The 21,810-nt window shown below is 38.7% G+C and overlaps 1 protein-coding gene and 1 long non-coding RNA gene across 21 annotated transcripts in view, besides 4 other annotated features; one reads left to right on the forward strand and one right to left on the reverse strand.

The window, feature by feature from the left end:
• Positions 1-21,810, reverse strand: part of TTN (titin) — a 281,435-nt gene that overhangs the window by 194,378 nt on the left and 65,247 nt on the right. For 12 of the 20 annotated variants that reach the window (NM_001256850.1, NM_001267550.2, XM_047445668.1 and 9 more), the window contains 33 exons: positions 18,775-21,555; positions 17,716-17,994; positions 15,145-15,708; positions 14,341-14,622; positions 13,962-14,240; positions 13,248-13,526; positions 12,873-13,151; positions 12,468-12,755; positions 12,074-12,352; positions 11,700-11,981; positions 11,327-11,605; positions 10,939-11,217; positions 10,559-10,837; positions 10,139-10,426; positions 9,727-10,005; positions 9,298-9,579; positions 8,922-9,200; positions 8,525-8,803; positions 8,134-8,412; positions 7,744-8,031; positions 7,219-7,497; positions 6,724-7,005; positions 5,402-5,680; positions 5,002-5,283; positions 3,894-4,172; positions 3,490-3,777; positions 3,052-3,330; positions 2,680-2,958; positions 2,293-2,571; positions 1,893-2,180; positions 1,481-1,768; positions 555-836; positions 19-297 (listed from right to left, as the gene is read on the reverse strand). In NM_001256850.1, coding sequence (NP_001243779.1) covers positions 19-297; positions 555-836; positions 1,481-1,768; positions 1,893-2,180; positions 2,293-2,571; positions 2,680-2,958; positions 3,052-3,330; positions 3,490-3,777; positions 3,894-4,172; positions 5,002-5,283; positions 5,402-5,680; positions 6,724-7,005; positions 7,219-7,497; positions 7,744-8,031; positions 8,134-8,412; positions 8,525-8,803; positions 8,922-9,200; positions 9,298-9,579; positions 9,727-10,005; positions 10,139-10,426; positions 10,559-10,837; positions 10,939-11,217; positions 11,327-11,605; positions 11,700-11,981; positions 12,074-12,352; positions 12,468-12,755; positions 12,873-13,151; positions 13,248-13,526; positions 13,962-14,240; positions 14,341-14,622; positions 15,145-15,708; positions 17,716-17,994; positions 18,775-21,555 — 12,066 coding nt within the window. The remainder of the gene's footprint in view (positions 1-18; positions 298-554; positions 837-1,480; positions 1,769-1,892; positions 2,181-2,292; positions 2,572-2,679; positions 2,959-3,051; positions 3,331-3,489; positions 3,778-3,893; positions 4,173-5,001; positions 5,284-5,401; positions 5,681-6,723; positions 7,006-7,218; positions 7,498-7,743; positions 8,032-8,133; positions 8,413-8,524; positions 8,804-8,921; positions 9,201-9,297; positions 9,580-9,726; positions 10,006-10,138; positions 10,427-10,558; positions 10,838-10,938; positions 11,218-11,326; positions 11,606-11,699; positions 11,982-12,073; positions 12,353-12,467; positions 12,756-12,872; positions 13,152-13,247; positions 13,527-13,961; positions 14,241-14,340; positions 14,623-15,144; positions 15,709-17,715; positions 17,995-18,774; positions 21,556-21,810) is intronic. The other 8 variants (NM_003319.4, NM_133437.4, NM_133432.3 and 5 more) reach the window with 2 other exon arrangements.
• Positions 3,269-4,468: an enhancer, noted in NCBI's record as "BRD4-independent group 4 enhancer chr2:179588362-179589561 (GRCh37/hg19 assembly coordinates)". NCBI's record gives its function as "activates an origin of replication core promoter dependent on BRD2, P300/CBP, MED14 and CDK7 cofactors, and independent of BRD4, by STARR-seq in HCT116 cells {active_cell/tissue: HCT116}" and the evidence as "EXISTENCE:reporter gene assay evidence [ECO:0000049][PMID:35650434]".
• Positions 6,300-7,499: an enhancer, noted in NCBI's record as "BRD4-independent group 4 enhancer chr2:179591393-179592592 (GRCh37/hg19 assembly coordinates)". NCBI's record gives its function as "activates an origin of replication core promoter dependent on BRD2, P300/CBP, MED14 and CDK7 cofactors, and independent of BRD4, by STARR-seq in HCT116 cells {active_cell/tissue: HCT116}" and the evidence as "EXISTENCE:reporter gene assay evidence [ECO:0000049][PMID:35650434]".
• Positions 8,701-9,900: an enhancer, noted in NCBI's record as "BRD4-independent group 4 enhancer chr2:179593794-179594993 (GRCh37/hg19 assembly coordinates)". NCBI's record gives its function as "activates an origin of replication core promoter dependent on BRD2, P300/CBP, MED14 and CDK7 cofactors, and independent of BRD4, by STARR-seq in HCT116 cells {active_cell/tissue: HCT116}" and the evidence as "EXISTENCE:reporter gene assay evidence [ECO:0000049][PMID:35650434]".
• Positions 10,626-11,825: an enhancer, noted in NCBI's record as "CDK7 strongly-dependent group 2 enhancer chr2:179595719-179596918 (GRCh37/hg19 assembly coordinates)". NCBI's record gives its function as "activates an origin of replication core promoter dependent on BRD2, BRD4, P300/CBP, MED14 and CDK7 cofactors, with strong dependence on CDK7, by STARR-seq in HCT116 cells {active_cell/tissue: HCT116}" and the evidence as "EXISTENCE:reporter gene assay evidence [ECO:0000049][PMID:35650434]".
• LOC124906101 (uncharacterized) lies at positions 16,773-18,890 on the forward strand. Its single transcript, XR_007087319.1, has 2 exons — positions 16,773-17,077; positions 17,568-18,890. It is a non-coding gene; the product is annotated as an uncharacterized LOC124906101 (long non-coding RNA).

The following is a 21,810-nucleotide window of genomic DNA, read 5'->3' on the forward strand; positions in this document are numbered from 1 at the left end:
GTGTCCATGTATACAAACCTTTGAACTTGACAGAGCAAGAACACGTGTCACTTCCCACCTCATTAGTAGCTTTGCAGTGATATTCCCCGACATCGGAGGCTTCAAGATTAAGGATATGAAGACTTGTATCAAAATGTTTTGAAGTGATTTTAAATTTCTTGCTGTTTCTAACCTGCTTTCGATCTTTAACCCATACTACTTCAAATGGGGGAGTTCCCGAAATTTCACATTGGAGAATCACATCAGAACCTTTAAGAGCTCCTACTGGAGAAGGCTTCTGGGTGAAAACAGGAGGTGCTACCAGAAAAAAGGAGATAAACAATGAGAACACTTGCTTACTATAAAGGAAAAAAAAATTAAATCTAGAACCTTGAAGAGTGACTGGTGTGATCATATGACAATACATGCTGACACAAGAAATGACAATTCATTAAAACTTGTTGAAGAATTGCAACCAAATAACCTTAATTATCCTTTTATTTTGGAACTCATAACTTTGCTAAGAGCCCAAATCAGAGGAGAATAAAGAAACAAAGAAGCTTAGTGTGTCTAACCTTTCACTGTCAACGCTGTGCTGCAGCTGGCGTCACCAACACCATTATGAGCCTCACAAATGTAGTCCCCGCTGTCTTCAGCACTAGCTTCATTGATCGTAAGCAATGCCACAGAATTAATGAATGACATGTTGTATTTCCAACTTTCATGAAGTTCGCTGTCATTTCGGAACCATGAAACTTTGATTTCTGGGGAGCCACTTATTTTACATTCCAGTTGAATGGATTCTCCCTGCTTTGCAACTTTTGAAGCTTCTAATTTCTTAACAAACTTTGGAGGTTCTAGTAAACCAAACAAAACAGTCAGTAAGGGATATTTATTATACATGTTAAAAGAGCTTGTTTTTGTAGCTGAAGATCCCATAAATTTATATTTAAACTGGTTTGTTATTAAGAATATACTTTCTGAGGATTTTACAGTAAAATAAGTTATCTTTTAAGTTAAATAATCTCATAACATTTTTTTTTTAGTTTTTTAAAATTTATTATTATTATACTTTAAGTTTTAGGGTACATGTGCATTTTTAATAGAGAATTTAGTTGATTCTTTTTTTTAGTTTGACTATGTAAGTTAAAACATAAAAGTTAATGTATTATAGATGTATTTGATCAACATTTAGTAATGATAAATCAGAATGCCATATAACAAGAAAGCATTAAAAAATGGACTAGATAGTTAAAACAACATTTAACAAATTTCAATTAAACAATACTTTTTGATAAGATTACACTTAGAGTTACACTAATGTAAAGAACAATATAAAGAGAAAACACAACTTTGATTAATGTTGCCTCCAACACTAATACACAAATTCTAACATGTCCAGTTAGTTTCTCTCAAACATTTAAAAACCAAAGAAACTTTTATAAGACAATTATGCAAATATGGTAAGGAACAAATATTGTCAAAAGTCATGGAATGATACCTTTTACACTGAGCTGAGCTGAGCACATGTCTTTGCCAACATCATTGGTTGCTTGGCAAGTATATTGACCAGAGTCTCCTTTGCCTACTTTAAGAATTCTCAAATGAGGAGTGTTTCCCACACATGTGATTGTATAGTTTCCTCCAGGACGGATCTCCTTGTTATCTTTTGACCAAGTGATTCGCATCGGTTGAGCACCAGTAACATGACACTCAAAATCAGCACTTTCTCCAGCAATAACATCTATAGATACAGGCTTGATGTCAAAGAAGGGAGATTTCTTGGGTTCTGGAGGATGAGAAGAAAGGCAATGTGTATTTTTTGTTTGTTTTTTTGCCATTGGTCGTTTCTACTTTGACAATGAAATATGAAGCCACAGTTTGCAAAGAAAAAGAGTGACGTGTGAACAAACCTCTTGCTGTGAGTCTAGCACTAGAAGATGCTGTTCCAAGTGGGTTGGAAGCTGAGCAAGAGTACTGGCCAGAGTGACTCAAGTCAGTTTGCAAAATTTTTAAAGTTGCCACATTATCTACAAATGAAGTCTGTAGATTTTCATCGTCTCTTAAAAGTACTCCATCTCTATACCAGCACACTTGGATGGGTGCAGAGCCATTTAATCGACAAGTGAGTGTAACAGGTAACCCCACAGTTTGTTCAATGTCCTTTAATTGTCTTGCAAAAGAAGGTGGGAGTTGGCGCTCTGTAGGGAGACATGTAATACTTAAGGTGTTAGGAGATGAAATGAGAAGTTCACCATAAAGATACAAGAGTTAAGGAAAAAAGAATTTTTTTAATTTGTAAAATATCATCACCTTGAATTCTGAACACAGTCTTAGAAGAAGCAGTTCCTATACTATTTTCTGCTTTGCATGTGTACTCTCCACTGTCATTGATGTTCACTTTATTAAAAACAAGTGTGGCCACATTGTTTGTAAAGTAGGTCCTGTATTCAGGAGTTGGCCGTAATTTGGTATCTCCTTTGTACCAAGACACTGTAATTTCTGGTGTCCCAGCAACTTGGCATTGTAAAGAAACCGAATCTCCAACTGCTGCCTCCAGAGGTTCCAGTTCCGTAACAAAATAAGGCGGTTCTAAGGAAGAAAGGCTCACAGTTAGCAACTGGAATTAATGAATATCAAAGAAACTATGCTACATGTTAGAAGAATGCAAATGATTTAAGAGACAATAAGACAACACACCTAATGTAGATACCAGAGCTCCACAAACATCCCTTCCTGCCTCATTTTCAATCTCGCAGGAATACTGCCCTGCATCTCTTTTTGTGCTATTCAGAATTTCCAGGATACAAGTTTTCTCTGTTGTGACTATGTTACATTTTTCAGAGGTAGTTATGTTAAAACCATCCTTTTTCCAAGTGACAGAAATTGGAAGTGTTCCAGTGTAGGTGCTCTCCAGAATTATGGACTTCCCTGGTTCTACAGAATGATCACTTAATCTCTTCAAAAATGCAGCTGGTTCTAGTAAGTGACAAAGCACAGCAGTTAAACACAAGAAAAACACAAGGATGTCGGTATACAGAAAACAGAAAAAGTGAATCCACTTGAGCAAACCTTTCACAAAGAGACGGGTAGTGCAAGATGCTTGGCCAGCGTTGTTAGAAACCACACAGGTGTATTCCCCACTCTGAGATATGTCAATATTAAATAATTCCAGTTCTGCCACAGTGTCTTCAAAATAGATGTTGCACCGGTCTCCTTTCACTAGTTCTCTGGCACCTCTGAACCAGTTGACTTTGAATGGAGGGGTTCCTCTAATAACGCTTGTGAAGGTTACATTTTTGCCTGGTAGTACTTCCAAAGGTTCAGGTTCTTTCACAAAAGAGGGTGGTTCTATATAGACATGGAGAACAATTAAAAGATCCTGTAAGCTTCAGATGGAGTTGCAATTTTGAATAAAACATTAGAGCACTTTCAAATGTTTGTCAACATAGATGTGCACCTGAAGAGGAATTTGTAAGAAATTCCTTACAAGTTTGACTGTCTACTGACCTTGTACAGTTAGCACTGCACGACATTCATCAGACCCAGCGACATTAGCAGCCACGCATGTGTAATTGCCCATATCTGAGGAATCCAGAGAATTCAACTGCAATGTGCAGACATTATCTGAAAATGTGGTTTGGTACTTTGCTCCACTGACAATCTTGGTTTTCTCATGAAACCAGGCAACTGAAATAGGTGATGATCCAGCTACTTTGCATTCCAAGATGCAAGAAGCACCTAACACCCCACCAGTATTTTTCAGTCTTCGTGTGAAAGAGGGAGGAACTGCTCGGTCTGTGTGAGGAAAGGTAAGAGACTCATCATGATTTGAAAGAATAGAAGAGACTTGAAAGAAGGAAACTTGTAAAAGGAATTTGCATAAGCAACCAGAAGAAAACAGCAGAACTAACCTGAAACATCAACCACAGCTGTGCAGCTGCTTTTCCCAACATTATTTTGAACCTGGAAAGTGTATGTGCCTGCATCTTGCCTTTCAACTGAGAGAATCCTTAAGGAAGAGATTTTGTTGTAGAAGCTAAATTTGTGTTTTTGGCTGCTGGTCAACAGCTTTCCATCCTTGTACCATTCAACAGAGAGTTCCGGAGTGCCAGCCACCTTACACTCCAGAGTGCACGTTTCTCCTACAGTCACCGTCATCGGTCCTGCCTTCTCAACAATGACTGCGGGCTCTGAAATAAAACGTGATATCCATCTGTCAAAGTCTGGGATCTTTACTCTGTCTCTACTATCACATTCACTAAGATTGTTTCTCCCAGTGAGATGGTTATGTTAGGGTGCTCTCTCTCTCGACTTTAAAGTGTGATTCCATAATTACATGCAGTCATAGAATTATAGCTATTTTTTATTTTAATATTTTTTCTTTTCAGTTTTTTCTTTATTTTTTGTTTTTCCCACCACTCTTGCTGTCGTCTTATGTAGCAATTATTCTTAAGAAATATATGTTCGTGCATGACTCAACTTCAAAACAATTTAAACAATGTGCATTAGATAGTATATATTGATTTCCACTTGACCCTCTGTAGATCAAAGTCTACAGGTTATTGTGAATTACTTGGTATTTTTGCTCTACCTTAAGGTGCTAAAGACAATTCTTTGAAAGTTGTTATTCAAACAATTGTTTAATTGTCATTAATTTTATGTGGAAGCTTTGCTATCAAATGCCAACCTTTGGAGTTCTTGTTAGTTTTAACAATTACTCTTGTAGCACATGCTGGGCTCTGTATTCTTTCATGCTTAATCAAAGAGAGTCATGATTGTATCTGCTAATTGATATAGACAGGTAGTTATTAAACAATAAAACAGATGTCTAATTTTTGTTAGAATCACAGAAACAGAAAAGAGTGTTTGAAAGATCAACTATGTCTTTCCTCTAGACCTTTCAAATAGATGAGGATAAATATAGTTCTAGAAGAAACTCAGAAAAAGAATCTGCCAGTAACTCTTAGTAATTCATTCCAGCATTTGGCACCAGTTTCTATCGTGGGCTATTGTACCAACCTAAGACCATCAGTGTGGCCATGTTCTCCCTCATTCCACCATCATTCTTGATTTGGCAGATATACTTTCCAGCATTAGCTGGCTCTGCTTTTGCAAACTGTAGAGTTGCAACATTTTCCACAAATGTAATCCTGATGTTTTCACTTTCTCTAATCACTTCTTCCTTCTCTTTAAGCCACTGGACAAAAATAGGCTGGGCGCCTTCTATGGATGCTTGTAATTCAGCAGGCTCTCCGGCTACAACAGTGAGGCTGTTCAGTTTGGAGACAAATCTTGGTGGTTCTGAACAGGAAAAGATGGATGGAAATTGTTGAAAAGATTGTCCAGATCATGCGAGAGTGAAAAAAGTAGGATTTTGCACATTTATGACATTTCTGCCATGTGGATGAACTATATTTACCTTTCAATTTTACAGTACAAACACAAGTATCACTTCCCACTTCATTCTGTGCTTTGCAGTGGTATTCACCGATGTCTGAAGTGTCCACATTGAGAATGTGAATACTTGTGTGGAAGTTTTTGGATGCAATCTTGTATTTCTTGCTGCTTCTGAGTTGCCGCTTGTCTTTGTACCATACCACCTCAAACGGTGGTGTTCCCGAAAGTTCACATTCAAGACTGACTTCAGCATTTTTAAGGGTTTCTACTATAGGAGGGAAGCTGCTAAAAACAGGTGGCTCTGCAAAAAACAAGAATTTCTCATGAATTGGGCTACTGAATTTCACAAAATGAAAATTTTTTATTTGTCTTTAAATTGGAAGAAAGGTTTAAGATATTCTAATGGGTAAGTAGAGTCCAGCACTAACACTCTCATGGGATAACAGCCTCAGAAGCCATTTGCCTTCACAAGATAACCAGCTAGATGGGCAGAGAACCCAGATAGATCCTAGATGTCGTTACTGAACAGTTCAACATTCTATCTACTACACCTTACTGATGTATCTTAGGCTACAAAGATTGATACAAAAATTGCAAACAAGCAAGTATAGCAATAAATAATGATTTGCATGAAGTATGGAATTCTAATTTCAAGGATGATTTTTTTTGTATATGTTCTATAACAGACACTTGGAAGTCATCACAACATCCGTGATCTAAGTCTTCCATTTCAGCAAATGATTACTGCAATAATTGTCTTAAAACAAGACAAACTTGGCCTTTGTGACAAAAAAAAAAAGCACTGGAAAATTGCAGCAAAAAAACACAGATACTATTTGTACCAAGGTATAGTCATATAATTTTTAAAGGATAGGAAGTGATCCTTGAGAGAGAAGGAAAAAATATTATTGTCCTGTTTTAAACATAAGTTTAAAACCTGTATTGCTTTCACTTTGCATAGATATAGTAAAAGTGCTTGTTATTAATGATATAGATTATAGTGAGAATGATATATCTGTAAGTTGATTGAAAGCAAAAGACTAATTTTAAAATGCCTACTTCATTTTTTTGTGCAGTTTTGAAACATCACGTTTGATGTTTGGCAAATGTGTTGAGGTAATCAGAATTATGACACTGGAATAACAAAAATATTTCATAATGACTAGTTACATGTAAGCAAAATTCAAGAAGGAAACCATCTAAAAAGGGAAATAATACTAGCTCAGAAAAATATTCTATGATCTCAAATGGAAACTAAAATGATAGTAAATGAATAAAGAGCTATAATACCCAGGGGAGAAGGTGGTTTTCATTTAATGAGAAACACAAGAACAAGATGTCTACCTTTTACTATAACCTTGGTACTGCAGCTTGTGCTGCCAGCGGGATTCTGAGCCTCACAAATGAAATCTCCACTGTCCTCAGTACTGAGATTGTTCATCTGTATGACGGCCACTGAGTCAATGAAAGTCATTCTGTACTTATCACTGGCTGGAAGTTCATGTTCATTTCGGAACCACACAACTCTGATTTCTGGGGATCCAGCTATCTTGCATTCAAGTCGTGAAGAGTCACCTGCTTTCACAATTTTGGAGGCTTCTAATTTCTTTACAAACTTTGGTGGTTCTAAAGAGTCAGGAAAGAGGAGAGTATCAGGGAACAGAAATAAATAACAATAGTTAAATTAGATAGTATACAGGCAAGAGAAAAACATGAGCAAATACTGTTTACTATGTTAGAAAGAATACTACTTTCTTGATTGTTTAGAGACATTGTAACTGAATACAGAGAACCAAAGACACAGTCAGACAGAAACATAAAGGAATCAAATTTGCACACCTGTCACAAGCAACATCGTAGTACAAGAGTCGCTACCAACATCATTGGTAACATGGCAAGTATACTGTCCAGTCTTAGAAGCATCCACTGAGTAGAGATTTAAGAAGCTAGTCGACCCTTCCAAGCCAATGAAACATTTAGGACCTGAGACAAGTTCCACATCATCCTTAAACCATTTTATTTTAAATGGTGGTGTTCCTTTTAGTATTGCCTTAAATTCCACTGTAGAATCAGGTATGGCTTGCTGTCGCCCAGGTTTCACTAGGAAGCTTGGTGGTTCTATAGATTTTAAGAGAGATATATTTAATTAAATTGCTTGCAGTTGAATTATTGTGACAGTTTTATGGACATTTAAGAAAACACTCTTGGAAAGAGGCAATGGCTGAATATTTCTTGAACACAATGAATATGTATCTAAAGAACCAGAATCATAGAGATTTTAGCTCTAAAGGATACAAAGGCAAGAGTGATACATTTAAGAAGCATTCGCAAGGAAGAATCAAGAAGAGGTAAAGAAATTCTAACCTTTCACAGTTAAGATGCCACTGCATGCATCATCTCCTGCTACATTTGACACTTTGCATGTGTAATTTGCAGTATCTTCTAATTCCAGATTATTAACTTCCAGAGACACAGATCTCTCATGGCACACAAGTCTGTATTTTGCACTTGTAGATATTTCTTTTCCATCCTTAAACCACTGAGCACTAATGGGAAGTGAACCAGACACCTTGCACTCCATATGAATAGAAGAGCCCAGAACTTTATCCATTTTGGTTAATTTTTTGGTGAATGATGGAGGAATATTTTGATCTGTCCAATGCAAACAGCAAAACACATCCATTAATCTCTTGCTATTTGTTTACAAAGGACATACTATAAATAAGGGAAGCTGACTGGGGTGAAGATACAAACCTAGCACTCTTAAGTAGGCATCACAGCTACTGCTTCCGAAGTCATTTTCCACCTTGAAAGTGTACTGACCGCTGTCCTGCTTCATTACTGACTGAATTCTAAAACTGGCCACGTTATTTTCAAAACTCATTGAAAAGTATCTACTGGGAACTATTTGTTTCCCGTCTTTAAGCCATTTCACTTTGAGTTCTGGTGTTCCAGCCACAACACATTCCAAGGTCATGGGATCTTTCTCCGTAACATCAACTGATTTAGCTTTCTCTACGATTTGAGCTGGTTCTGTAGTAAAAATGAAAATGTGGATGAGTTACATTGGTAACTCCACTAGAAATAATGTCTGCTAATGAAACTGTCGCTATAGACTATCTTTGAAAGAGAATAGCTTACAAACCTTGTACTAAAAGGAAAGCATAACACCTCTCAACTCCTGACTCATTCTTGGCTTGACAGGTATATCTCCCACTGTGTCCATTATCCACACTTCTGATTTGAAGTGTGGCCACACTGTCCACAAATGAAATATAGACATTATCATCTTCATCAAGAATCTGATCATCCTTTAGCCAGGTTATAGAAATAGGAGGAGAACCTGCCACGGTACTCTGAAAGGTGGCAGAACTTTTCAAAACAGTAGTGGTATTTTCTATCTTCTTAATGAATGATGGTGGTTCTGTGATTAAATAAGAGAGTGTGAAAAGAAGAAACATATTGTAACTCCTACCCATAATGATAAGATTTAAAAGCGTTACAGAATTTTTATTTGATAGGCTGCTTCTTGTATAACTGACCTTTCAGGGCAACTCTAGTACTGCATGAGCAGCTGCCGCCTTCATTGGATACAATGCACTGGTATTCCCCAGTGTCTGAAGGGTCACACTTGGTTATATGGAGGTTAAACACAGACACTCTGTCGGTCAATGTGTATTTTTTGCTGCTTCGAATTTCCCTGTTATTCTTCAGCCAAGTGACTTCAAACGGAGGTGTTCCCGTAACTTCACACTCCAGCTCCACGTCACTATATTTTACTACCTCCACAGGCTTCAGCTCTCTGATAAAGGTGGGGGGTTCTAAAGATTCAAAAGGAAGACAGTAGCTTACTCAAGGGAAGACCCCAAACTTATCAGGCAGCACAGCCAAAATGGAGAATAGATTCCATTCACGAACCTTTCACTTTGAGTTCAATGCTGCAGCTCGCCGTGCCTGCGTCATTTCGAGCTTCACACACATAAGTCCCACTATTTTCTACCCTGGCACCAGAAATCTGGAAAGTGGCTAAACCATCAATGAAGGAAATGCCATGTTTCTGAATGGCTGTTATTTCATTCCCGTCTAGATACCAAGACACTCGGATTTTAGGAGTGCCTGTTATTTGGCATTCAAATGTTGTTGACTGTCCATTCCTCAGCACTAAGACTGGACTGGGCTTCTTAATGAATTGAGGAGGTTCTAAAGATGGAAAAAGAATTGTGATGTTGAATATTTTTAAAAACAGGTCACTGGGCAAAACTGCTGTCTTAAGCGTCCCCCGCCCCGGCCCACCCCAGGCAAGAAAATCTAGACAAGCAAGAAAGTGAGGAGATGTAGAGACCAGACCTTTTACAAAGAGAGTGGCTTTGCTGGTTGCTGTGCCAACATCATTGCTTAGTTGGCAAATGTAGGTTCCAGAATCGGTAGCTTTGGCTGCAAAGAGCTCTAGACTGGTAGAGGTGTCATCCTTCCAAACTGAGCGGGCTGCTCCTGAGTGTAACTCTTTGTTATCTTTAAACCACTTTATTGTCATGGGTGCAGTGCCACCCACAAGAGCCTTTAACTGTACCCTTGTGTTGGGATTGACATCTTGTGACTGTGGCTTTTCCACAAAGTAAGGGGGTTCTGAGGTGAAAGAAAAAACAAGCAAAAGAAAATAGGAAGTTTTATTTTATAACTTAGCAATAAAGGTGAAAATTTAGAAATGAAACAAAAATATTTTGTAAGTTCTTGATAAGTGGAAATAAAATTTGCCAACCTTTGACTGTCAGATGCCCACTGCATTGGTTGTGCCCTGCCTTATTTGTGGCAGAACAAGTGTATGTCCCACTGTCTGTACCTTCCAGCTGGCTGATTTCCAAGAAGGCAGTATTGTCATGAAAAGAGAATTTGTACTTTTCACTAGCTGATATTTCTTGGTCATCTTTGAACCACTGGATGCTTATGGGATGTGACCCAGCCACTATACATTCTAAATCAATGAAAGAACCTTTAATGCTGTCCATTTTCTTCAGCTTTTTGGTGAATGAAGGAGGTATGATAAGATCTATTCAATGAAAAAGCAAACAACAACAAAAAAAGGTCAATCTACTAATTTGTTTTTGTTTTTTTTTTTAAATTTTAAGGGAAGAAGGAGCATGGAAATGCCCAATCCTCTCTGTAGAAGAACAATACCAACCTAATACATTAATTCTAGCCTTGCAGCTGCTCCTCCCAACATCATTTTGGACCTCGAAAGTATATTCTCCACTATCTTTCTTTTCTGTAGAAATAATCTTCAGTATTGAGACTGTATCAGTGACACTGATTTTATATTTTGAGCCCAGGGTCAGTTCTTGGCCATCTTTAAACCATTTGGCTGTAATCTCCTTAGTCCCTGAAAATTTAACCTGCAAAGTGGCTGGGTCTCCTTGGGTGACATCTATAGACACAGCTTCCTCGGTGATTGTTGCAGGTTCTGTAGAAAACAAAGGGATAGATGTGGGTTGTGCATTACCCTGCTGAAAGGCTTACATCTGCATTTCTTCCTCAAACCCAAGGCAAACGTTCTGAACCAACCTTTTACTGAGAGTAATGCAGAACATCTTTGTATTCCTGCATCATTTTTGGCCTGACAGACATATTTCCCATCATGCTTGACTTCAATGCCACTGAGGTACAAACTGGCCACATTGTTCTCAAAGGTCATTCTTATATTATCGTCTTCAGTGATTTCATCGCTGTCTTTTAGCCAAGTCACCGTAATTGGCAAGGAGCCCTTCAGAGTGGCCTGGAAGGCAGCTGTGCCTCCCCGGAGGGAGCTGGTACTCTCGATCTTCTTTATGAAGGATGGGGGTTCTAACAGAAGAATGAATTCTCAATCAATATTATCCCTATAGCAAAAGTGGCTTAAAAAAAAGAATTGACTCTTCAGAAAAGCCAGTCCCTCACTGGAACCAACACTAACCTCTTAAAGTCACCCTGGCACTGCAGATGCTGCTGCCCACCTCATTGGTCACCCGACACTGGTATTCGCCAGCATCTGCAGCTACAAACTTGAGGATCTGCAGGCTAACCAGATGATCCTGAATGAAAGTCTTATACTTTCTACCACTTCGCAGGATTGTGTTATCTTTGAACCAAGTGATCTCAAAGGGAGGAGTGCCTGCCACCTCAGCCAGCAACATGACATCGTACTCCTTTAAGACTTCAATTGGCTTAAATTCCTTGGTAAAATAAGGTGACTCTACAGTAAAAAAGGAATGATTTGCATTAAGGGAGGAGGGGTCTGTGCCATGGGCCATAACTTTGGCAACACAAGAGGCAAAGTGAACACAAACCTTTGACTATTACAATGCTACTGCAGTGGTCACTGCCAGCCTCATTTTGGGCCTCACACATATATTCACCACTGTCTTCGATGCCAACATCTGTCAGTCTTAGAACTGCAGTAGACTCCACAAAAGACATTCTGTGTTTGCTGCTCTCCTTAATTTCTCTATCATTTGCAAACCATGTTATTTTAATTGGAGGGGTACCAGTTACTTTGCAGGCTAGCTGGGTGGCATCTCCCTTCTTTAACAGCTGTGATGGCTCTAACTTTTCAACAAATGTGGCAGGTTCTGTGGAAGGAAGGAAGTTATTAAGAAATGTGAGAAAGAGGAAAGAATTTATAACAAGGTTAGCACAAAGATGTCAAGAAAACAATGCAAACCTTTTACAAACAAGTTTGCACTGCATTCCACCCCTCCAGCGACATTGCTGACTTTACATGTGTACGTGCCCGAATCAGAGGTTTTTACTAAATAGAGTTCCAGGGAACTCTCTAAAGCTTCTTTGGTAATATAGCAGCTTCCACCAGAAACCAGCTCTTTGTTGCCCTTAAACCATCTGATTGTGAGAGGAGTAGATCCTTGGAAAGTGCTCTTCAGGCAGACTGCTGAGCCAGGCAGAACATCCTTTGAGCCGGGTTTAGTTACAAAACTGGGTGGTTCTGAAGAAGGGGTATAAGAAAGAATTTCAAAGAGTTAAGAGGGTTGATCTAAGGGAAGATGACTTAATTTGAACATAATCTTTAATAAGGATAAAATGCAAAGTCTCCAGCCAACCTTGCACAATCAGGGCTCCACTGCTGTCTTTGCTTCCCACGGAATTTGTGGCTCGACAAGTGAAATTCCCTGCATCATTCATGTCTACTCTGATGATCTCCAAAGAGGCTGTGCCTTCCACAAATGCTATCCTGTATCTGTCAGAAGCAGCTATTTCTTTGCCATCCTTAAACCAGGACACCCTCATGGGGAGGGAGCCTGCAATTTTGCAGTCCAGTCTGCAGGTACCATTAACAACACTATCCACGTTGCGCAAGGGTTTGGTAAAAAATGGAGCAATGTCTCGATCTGTGTGTTGCACAAGAAGGGAGAAAAGGTCAATATAGAAGAGTGCTCAGTGATTGACTTTAGGCCATTTGTTGGGTTTCAAATGCATATGTAGCATCATTTTCTAAAAATACTAACCTAATACAGTGAATGTAGTCTCACAGGAGCTGCTGCCCACTTCATTGGAAATCTCAAATGTGTATTGGCCACTGTCGTGCAGCTCAGCTGAATAAAATTTGAGCTGGGCAACATTGTTTTTAAAACTTATTCGGTATTTTTTACTGGCGACCAAGGGTCTCCCATCTTTGTACCATTTGGGCTTCAGTTCTGGCGTGCCTGCCACTGTGTACTCCAGTGTGGCGGGATCTCCTGCTGTCACCTGGATCAGTTCTGCTCGCTCAATGATTTTGGCAGGTTCTACAATGGTATGAAATAGTTAGCACCCTAAATGCTTGTTAGGGTTTCACTTTAATTCTAAATAGCAATTTGAGGTTTAAATGTTCCTACACAAACCTTTAACTATTAATTCCCCAACAGATGTTTGGCTTCCAGCTTCATTTTCAGCCAGGCACGTGTATTTGCCTCCAAAACTAATCTGAACATCAGGGATTATCAAGACTGCAACACCATTGGAAAAGCTCATTTTGATTTTTCCGTCTTCTCTGATGACCTCTTGACCTTTCATCCATGTGACAGAAATGGGCTCTGACCCTCTCACAGCAGCTTGCAGGGTAACGGTTTGTCCTCCTAGTGCAATCAAATCATCTACTTTCTTTACAAAGGTTGGAGGTTCTAGTTAAGGAAAGAGAGCATATAAAACATATCAATTCCCAAACACTTTCAACACCATCTATATTTAAGAGTTTTTTCAAGATTATATTTATCTTGTCCCAATACTACTATTTCATAGTGTTAATTAGAAGAAGAAATAAAAGTTAAGAATAATTATAATTCCATCCAAGAGACAGAGGCATAGATGATACATGTTTGTCAGCTGACAAAATGGCTTATTATTCCCTTTTGTTATCAGATAATAGATATTTACACTAGTCTCGGGAAAAAGACCAGGTGAAAGTTACTGACTTTGTTCCCAAGGTCCCAGGTCAAACCAAGACAAAACAAATTTAAAGGATAGGACAAGAGAAGAAAGTACCAGTTTTTCTTCCATGGGGTAAGAAAGCTAGTTTGACAATTTATTAAAGAGACATTAGTTTTTCAAGCACTAACCTTTGAGTAAGTGGGTTGCCATGCAGCCACACTTGCCGACTTCATTAGCAACAACACATTCATATTCACCAACATCTGCACTATTAAACGAAAAGATCTCCAGACACACAAGAGACTTCTGAGAAAACAATCTGTATTTTTTACTACTTCGAATTTGTTTCTTGTCTTTGAACCAGCTAATTTCAAATGGTCCAGTGCCTGAGACTTCACACTGAAGTAGAGCATTTGTTCCTCTCACTATGTCTGCAGGCTCAAGAGTTTTGATGAAAGAAGGAGGTTCTACAAAAGCATGAAAGCATTGTGTAAGTAATGGGTAATAAGTAATTAAAAGGGAAATCTTTTCTCAGAAAAATACTGGATGGAAACTCAGTAAACAAACCTTTGATAACTATTTCAGTACTGCAGCTATCACTGCCGACGTCATTCACTGCTTCACATGAGTAACTCCCACTGTCTTCAACTTTTACATCCGTAATATCAAGTATAGCCTCAGAATTGACAAAATACATTCGGACTGTGTTACTTTCACTGAGTTCTTTGTTATTTTTAAACCAAGTAACCTGGATCACAGGTGAGCCTTTCAGCTTGCAATGGAGGCGTGCTGATTCACCTGGGAGCATTAAATAAGAGGGATCCACCTTCTTCACGAAGGATGGTGGCTCTACATGAAGTTTACAAAAAAGAAAAAGGAGAAGATATCTGAAACATAAACTCCGCAAAAGAAAAGTAGACATATACAACAAAGAGACCCAACACACATAAAATATCTCCACAAAATTTCTGTAAAAGCTGTGGTGCATTTAATAGGTTCCTATCATTCTAAGACACTTTCCCAGTCTCTTGATTTAAAATAAAACAACAATAAACAGACTACCTACACAAAGAAGAATTTTATAAAAGAAGATAGTTAAGAATTGCTCAGACACTTGGAGTTTTTTCTTAGAAGAAATTTTAAGCAAGCTTTGTTAATAGCAGACAATTTAAAAGAACAAAAGTTAAGTGAACTTTGAAGAGGATTAAAAAAATAAAATCAAACAATGCCAGGACTTTCCCAAACCATAATGTTTGCTGAATGACATTATTTTAATAACAAAGTGTACTGACTGAATTGTTTGCCAACAGTTTTTCTACTGAGGATTCCTTGCAGAGAAGGGACTAGAAAATACATTCACACGTTTCTTACCTCTGACAGTGACTGTGGCTGAGCAGGAGCTGCTTCCAGCCTCATTTGAAGCTGTACAGACATAGGTTCCTGAATCTTTCAGTTTGGCCAAAGGAATCTCAAGTGTTGCTATTTTATCTTCAAAACAGATCTTATAATCTTTCCCTGGGGGGAGTTTTTGCCCATCTTTGCTCCACGTAACTGTGACTTTTCTGTCTTCATCTACTTGGCACTCAAGGTGGACCTTCTTATTGATAGCGGACTGCACAGGCTCTAATTCTTTAATGAAATGTGGCTTATCAATGATGATCAACTCTGCTTGGCAGATGTCTGCTCCAAACTTGTTGGAAGCCTTACAAGAATAAACTCCTCTATCTTGAATGGTAAGGTTTGAGAGTTCTAAAATGTGTTTGTTTTCTGCGTCGGAAATCCTCCAGTTAGGTGAAGGTGAGAGTGCAGCACCATCTTTCTGCCAAATGGTTTCTATCACAGGAGTCCCTGTCACTGTGCAGATGAACTTGGCTGCCTTACCCACAAAAGTTGTAAGGGACTTAGGTCTGGAGAGAAAGGTTGGTGGATATGCCTCTGCAAAAGAAATTTTTCCAGCATTACATTTAGTCCCCACCAAAGCACTTGCTGTAATTATATATTCCAAGACAGAGAAAAGATGAGTTAAGTCTTTAGATAGACATGAGCCATAATTTAAAATGGAGTAATGTGTTAATAAGAACAAAAGATTGTCAAAGGAAAGGGATGAGAGTGTTCTTTATAAGGGAGCAAGACATCACTTTACTTGTCTCTATCAAAGAAAAGACAAGCGTTCCTTTATTAAGTAACATTACTAAAGATTTGTCCATTTTAGTGGCTGCTTGTTTAATTATTTGATAAGCTATTGAGCTGATACTTTAATTCTGCAAATTAGAAGATTATGTAAGGAAGATAAAGAAAATGTATTTGACTCTTCTGAAGAGTAGGGATATTAAGTGATAAGAAGATTGAAGTAGTTTTGTAATGTCTTTCTAACCCTCATGTCAACTGCCTGGAAATTCTTATATGGCTTAACTATGAATGCATCCTCTAGGCCAACTCAAACTTGTAAAAATATTTAATAGCAGCAACTTCCCCTTTCCATTCTGCATCTTGAAGCCAGACTTTCAGAACCTCTCTTTTTAATTTTTTTAAGTCATCCTCCTTATCCTTTCCTCTTATTATCTGAAGCTTCAATATTAGTCGCATTCCTAAATTGACCTAATTTGAGTAAAGAAACTTCCAAACGCGTCAGTATGAATAATATCATGTACTTGGTTTTATGGAGACATTTTGACCAGAGTGAAAAGCACTGGTTGGGTCATCATGGGCCTGGGTTTTTCTTAGGATCACGTAAAAGGATTGTAGAGAAGAGGAAGCTATAGGGAACCTCATCGTTTTCACATTCAAGAGATGTGCTGCATTTGCCCTTCCCCTTGATATTCTCATTGACAAAGAAGACCAAGGGACAGCCTTCCCCAACAGTCCAAGTATGGCTTGACTGTACCTCTACCCCTGTCCTCAAACCACAGTTCATACTCACACTTTCTCTTGGGAAGAGGGAAAGAAAGAAAAGAAAGAAAGAAAGATAGAGAGGAGGGAGGGAAGGAGGGAAGGAAGGAAGGAAGGAAAGAAGGTAGGAAGAAAGGAAGAAAAGCTTGCTACTAATATTTTGGTTAATGAAGGCATTCAAGTATTTGATGAGTGTTAACTATTTGAAAGTCACCCTACATATCAATTAGAAAATTGGGAATAGGATATTTGTGTAGTTGTCTTATTTTCTTTCTTTCTTTTTTTTTTTTTAGGTGGAGTCTCGCTATGTTGCCCAGGCTGGAGAGCAGTGGTGCAATCCTGGCTTACTGCAACCTCTGCCTCCTGGCTTCAAGCAATTCTCCTGCCTCAGCCTCCCAAGTAGCTGGGACTACAGGTGCGTGACACCACGCCTGGCTAATTTTTTATATTTTTAGTAGAGATCGGGTTTCACTGTGTTAGCCAGGATGGTCTCGATCTCCTGACCTTGTGATCCGCCTGCCTTGGCCTCCCAAAGTGCTGGGATTACAAGCGTGAGCCACCGTGCCCAGCCGTCTTATTTTTAAATTAGTAAAAATGCCTAGAGAGAATCCTAGTTTTCAGTCCTATACTAGCTCCCTGTCTTACATTAGGATTTAATTTTAGACTTAGACACTGACTTTTTTAAGTTTGTAATTCTGTTCTTAATTGGTTATTTGATTTAAAATTTTTAAATACATTGAGACATTATTTTTTTTTAGTGGCACCAAACTGTCCTGATATGTTTTATATGAAGGGCCAAGCTGAGCTCATTTGATTACTTAACTTTGTTCTCAAATAATAAATTATTTTTTCTTTGGTCAGTAGTAGAAATGTGACTGTAAATAATGATTTCTTATCCCATATAGGCTCTGCAGTACCTACCTACCATGTTACTGTCTTGGTTGTTGGTCTCTCCAGTTGGTAATACAAGCATTTCCCACACATGTACAGAAAGCAAAAAGGACAACAATATGAAATGAAGTGACAACATCTGTGCCAATGTATGGCATTTACCTGTCACAGTTAGTGTGGCTGTACAGCTGACACTGCCATACTCATTGGAAGCTTTGCATGTATACTCGCCGCAGTCAACCACCTGGGTTCTCAGGATTTCAAGGCTGGAGATATACTTTGAAGATCGAATAGAACACTTGTCACTCTCATAAATTTCTCGGCCAGCTTTAAACCACTGGAACCGGACATTGGGAGCACTTTGGATCTCACAGGTGAATTTGGCTAGGTGGCCCAGTGCTACTTCCAGGGGTTCGATTTTCCTCTTGATCACTGGGGCAGCTGCAAAGGGAAGTAGAGTCCATTAACATGCCTCCTTATCAGGCATATGACATTTTTGTTTTTCTTCTAACTTTTGTTGCTGTTAATGGAGTAAAACAGTTGAAATTGGTGAGATGGATTACAGCAGTTTAAGGCAAGTGACTGGAAAATGAGAAAGATCATTGAAGGCAAAAGAAGACAATAAGCTTTTTTTAAAAAAAACCTATTCAATCATTGCTTTGCAGTGAATTGTGAAAAAATGTGATGCTATTGGATTATATGCATAACAACATGATATATTCTTTAAATATACCATGCTGAATGGGAACACTGAAAATAATGTGAAGAAACATGATATACTAAATAAAGTGATGAAGTGAAACAACAACAAAAAATAAACAGAAAAAAGAAACAGACAACTAATCATGGTTATTTTAAATCTAAGGGTGAGACCAGTGATTTCAGAGTGGCTAGGTGTTCACTGATACTTTTTATTACATATTATGAAAGTTATCTTCATATGAAAATTAACTAAAAGCTTATCTATTGGTATTATGAAACATATGAAAATATGTTTTATTTTTAAAATAAATAGTACCATGGATATGATAGCATAGCACCCAACAGGGCAGTAAGGGAAAAGGTGAGTTCATAACCATGATTATGTCTGTGATTTCATTCTTACTCTAAATAAATTACATTCTGGAAGTGGCAGATAAGTGAAAATTTAAGTGATGCAAGCTAAATCATTACAATCCAGTGAATGTTAGCATTTGATCTATTTTATCCTTAAAATCCAACCTCTTTTTACTACAGTGAGTTTGGCTGAAGTTGCTGTTTTTCCGCTGTCATTCAAGGCCTCACAGACATACTCTCCTTGATGGTCTTCGGTATTTACTTTGTCGATGACTAGCGTATATGTATTTTGATCTTGTAAACACTTGAACTTTTCATCTGAAGGCACCAGTTTATTCTCAAAATACCAATTCACCTCTTTAGCATTTGTTATGGATGTTGTGAGGTGTACAATATCACCTTCCTCAGAAACAGTGTCCACTAAAGGTGTATGTATCATGGGGCCATCCTCTTTGATTAAGCCACCCTCAGCTTCCTGTATCTTTACTGTAGCAACCTCCTCAGTACCACTTTCAGAGGAAGACTCCTCTTTTTCCTCTGATGGTTTCAGACTCTCATCTTGTTTTTCGTCAGAGACAACAGCTGAAGCAACCCCTTTAGTGACAGGTGTGGCATCCAAATATTTAACCCTACTTTGCACGTTAAAATAACTGACCTCTTCAGTTGAGATCAGATATTTAGATTCAACTTCTGGTTCAGTAATGGGTTCAACCTTCTGTGAACCTGAAAAAGAATCCATTTCTTCTTGCAAACTTGTTTTGGCTCCTTGCTGAATTCTAGGACCCTCAGCTGTTAGGATGTCTATTTCCTCATATATAATAGCACACAAAGCATCCCTAAGTTCCATTTTCAGGTTAGCCATTTGAGGATCAACATCTTCAATAATGATGGTTACTTCTTCTGTTACAGACTTTGCCGAAGTAACAAGGTACATGCACATGATGTGTCTGGGCTCTTGGGTGATGTTTACAGCCTCGACCTCCACCTTTTCAATATTTCTTAGCCACTCAGAGAAAAGACCTGGCTGCTCGCTGGCCACGGCTGCTTGCAAAGCCCGGCAGATTTGAATTTTCAGGTTTAATCTCTGCTCTTCTGGAATACCAGAAAGCAAGCTTTCCTTAGAAAGAAGGTCCCTTCCCTGTACCTCCTGCACTTTCTTTATTGCCACGGGCTCTCTTTTAGACTCAATGATTTGGTCTGGGGGCATCACCACGTTGTCAGAATGCTCTTCTTTGAGCAGTACCTGCTTTTCTTCAAGTGCTAGTGGAAATCTTAAGGACTTGCCTTCCTCAATTCTGACCGCAGAATCTTGCCCTGCATTTTCCAGTGGATTTGCACTTTCTATCAAAATTTTACCTCCTTCTGTGCATGAGTGTTCTGAAGGGACTAGGGGCTCATAGTTTACCTGAGAGATCATGACATCAGGACTCTGGAGACTCTCCACGTGTCCCTCAGCTAAGCTCTGACTCAAGATGAGCGCACTTTGTGCCTCTTGCTTTTGAAGAGTCACTCTTTGCTCTCTGTTGGTGTCAGATACTGTCTTTTCTTTTGGTGAAAGTACTTCCTCAGCCACAGAGGTTAGATAAGAATGCATTGGAGGTTCTATTGAAGACTGTGGATAATTCCCTTCAGGTTCAGCTAATAAAGTTTTCAGAGGCTCAACTGTTAATGAATTAATTTGTTCTATGGACATGGCACTTGGGAAGATTTTCTCGGTATCTGATAGAACTGCCTGTGTCTCAGGCTCTTCAGGCATTAGAATACCTTCTTTGGAGAAGGTTTTCTGGGACTGTACAATCTGCAGCTGTAGGTTGGGAGATGGTTCCTTGAGAGGCTGAAAGTGAATACTGCCATTGATGCAAAGAAATTCCCTGGTGCTTTCAGGAGTGAGCTTGTCTTGCTCCAAAATGGATTGCAATTCCTGAGCTCCCAAAGGAAGCTGACTGCTCAATTCATTGGCTTTAGCAATATGCTCATAAGATAGTTGCTGGTTTTCTTCTGTAATTAAAGCAGCTTTCAAAATGGTGTCTTTTACAAACGTTGCAATTTCCTGCTCTGAGTCAAGTGCTTCAACTGCGGGACCCTTTAAGGGTGTCTGTGGAAAATCCTCAGGAGCCTCTGGTGTGGACTTTGCTTTGCAGGGGGTATCAGTCATGTCTGTGTCTTCCAGAAGCACAAGCAGCTCTGCTGCACAGGTGGACTCACCCAACATATTCTCTGCTTTACAGATATAGAGGCCACTGTCTTCCCTCTGAGGGTCATTGACAATGAAAGTTCCAGAGCCATTAGGGTTATGAATGATAGTGTAATAAACACTGGTGCAAAGCTGCTTGTTTTCTTTGAACCATGTAACAGTAGGGGCAGGCTCTCCAACCACTGTGTACTCAAAGATGGCAGGAAGCCCTTGAGCACAGCGAATTGGTTTTAACTCCTTAAGGAAGTGAGGAGGACAAGGACCTCCCAGCTTTTCCAGAGATTTTGCCACTGCTGATTCTGTTTCAGTGTCTTTGTGACCCTCTCCTTTGGAATTAATTTTTAGATAGGCACTACATATTGTCTTTCCATAGTCATTACTGGCCATACATGTATACTCTCCCTCATCCTCCAATTTGGTGAACAGAATGATCAGGCTATGATCATCACCGTCAAAAACAAATTTGTAGTCAGCAGAAGGGGTTAATAGCACTCCATTAAAGAACCACTGAATTTTAGGTTTGGGGATGCCAATGACAGTTACAGACAGTGTAGCCACATCCCCCATGCTTATATCAGCATTTGACACTTCTTTGATGAAAATTGGGCCAGTGCCTTCCTTTTCGGAATCAAATTTAGTTGGGTAAACTGGAGATTCAGACAAAAGTTCAAGTGTTTCATTTATTTTAGATAATTGAAGTTCGGCGCTATGAAGTCCTTCTTCCTCGGCAGACAGAAAAGAACTAGAAAACTCTGTATGGGGAAAAATGATTATTATTTTACTATAAAATTTTATTTAATATAAAAATAGAAATCAAAGAATTAGACACCAGTTGATGGCCTTCTTCTGCTTTATTCCTGGAATGATTAGATTATTCCAAGATTAATGTATCAAAAAGCACATTTCTAAATTTTTCTTAGCTTAACATATAAAATTATGCAAAATTATAGATACTGTACAAAAGCAATTTTTGATCCACTTCATCTGTGATAGAGTTCATGTTTTAA

The sequence above is a fragment of the Homo sapiens genome, chromosome 2 (genome assembly GCF_000001405.40).
Source record: "Homo sapiens chromosome 2, GRCh38.p14 Primary Assembly".
Classification (NCBI taxonomy): Eukaryota; Metazoa; Chordata; class Mammalia; order Primates; family Hominidae; genus Homo; species Homo sapiens.